General features: G+C 42.1%; 1 annotated feature.

Moving 5' to 3' along the window:
- Positions 388-1,074: an enhancer, noted in NCBI's record as "NANOG-H3K27ac hESC enhancer chr16:8187641-8188327 (GRCh37/hg19 assembly coordinates)". NCBI's record gives its function as "activates a minimal SCP1, AML or CMV promoter by ChIP-STARR-seq in naive H9 embryonic stem cells {active_cell/tissue: H9 hESC(naive)}" and the evidence as "EXISTENCE:reporter gene assay evidence [ECO:0000049][PMID:30033119]".

Below are 1,393 nucleotides of genomic sequence, written 5' to 3' on the forward strand. Positions count from 1 at the left end.
TTAGATTAAGTACAAACTACGATATTACCAAAGGAGTTCTCTTTCTATCAAATTATGATGCCCAAATCACAACCCTAAAAAAAACTGTAAAAATTTATTGGATGCTTAATATGTACCAGACATACCACCACTCTCTATTTTATAATAAGTGATTCACTTCTCCAATTTATGAGACATCCCTGGCTCCTAAAAGTATTGGAATTTTAAGCTCCTGGCCTAGAGGTCAGATTACATTTGAGAGCTGGTTACACGGCCAGGAAGGATTCTGGAGAATGCATCTTTTTAGCCTTAAAGGAACATGTGTGGAACAGAGAGCTGACACTCTGATAAATACAGAGACACGCTAAGGTCTTAAAAGAAACCATCCAGTCCACTGCTTTCCATGTGCCCCCCTAACACACACACACATACTCACTCCTAGAATGTTTACCTCTTTATGTGCACCACTTTGCCCTGGTTGCCCAAAGCAGGCACTTACCTTCTAATGACGCAGACTATTGTATTGTGTTCACCCTGTAAGGCTTCAGTGCTTGTTCAAAAGCAAAGATCTGGTGATGGCTGATAAGATGCCTGCTTTCTCTCCGCCTTTGTTATGTAGATGAGTTTCCATTTTATTTTCGTTGTTTCCGTTGAATCCTGAGCGTTTTAATAGTTGTGAAGCTTCAGTGAACTCGAGTGGAGCTTAAGATCCGAGATGTTAAATCGGTTCAGCAATAAGATCTAGCAGAAAATGAGGGCCTCATTCTTACTTCTCCTTTTCCTCCTGAATAATGAAGAACTGATTTCTGCTATTAATGTGACTCTTACAGGAGGAACTCTGCAGTAATCCAGGGTAATTCATCATTAATTAACGTGCCATCTTTTCAACCTGTCCCCATTTAATCATAAAAGCTGGTGAATGTTAGAGCTAAGGGGTAGCTGATGGTTGAAAGAGTAGAAGGAAAATACTAACTCTGGGCACGTTTCAGGGTGAGAATTATTTTCCCTTTAGAAAATTGTAAGAATCCTTGGCGGGGCGTGGTGGTTCTCGCCTGTAATCCTAGCACTTTGGGAGACCGAGGTGGGTGCATCACGAGGTCAAGAGTTCAAGACCAGCCTGGCCAAGATGGTGAAACCCCCTTCTCTACTAAAAATACAAAAAATTAGCCGGTCATGGTGGTGGGTGCCTGTAATCCCAGCTACTCAGGAGGCTGAGACAGAGAACTGCTTGAACCTGGGACAAGGAGGTTGCAGTGAGCCAAAATCATACCACTGCCCTCCAGCCTGGGCAACAGAGCAAGACTCCATCTTAAAAAGAAAAAAAATAAAAATAAAAAAGGAAAGAAAATCGTAAGAATCCAACAAGTTGTTTGCAAGTGCTGTGAGCCCCATGGGATATCTGCTGCGTGTACTC

Source organism: Homo sapiens, chromosome 16 (genome assembly GCF_000001405.40).
Source record: "Homo sapiens chromosome 16, GRCh38.p14 Primary Assembly".
Taxonomy (NCBI): Eukaryota; Metazoa; Chordata; class Mammalia; order Primates; family Hominidae; genus Homo; species Homo sapiens.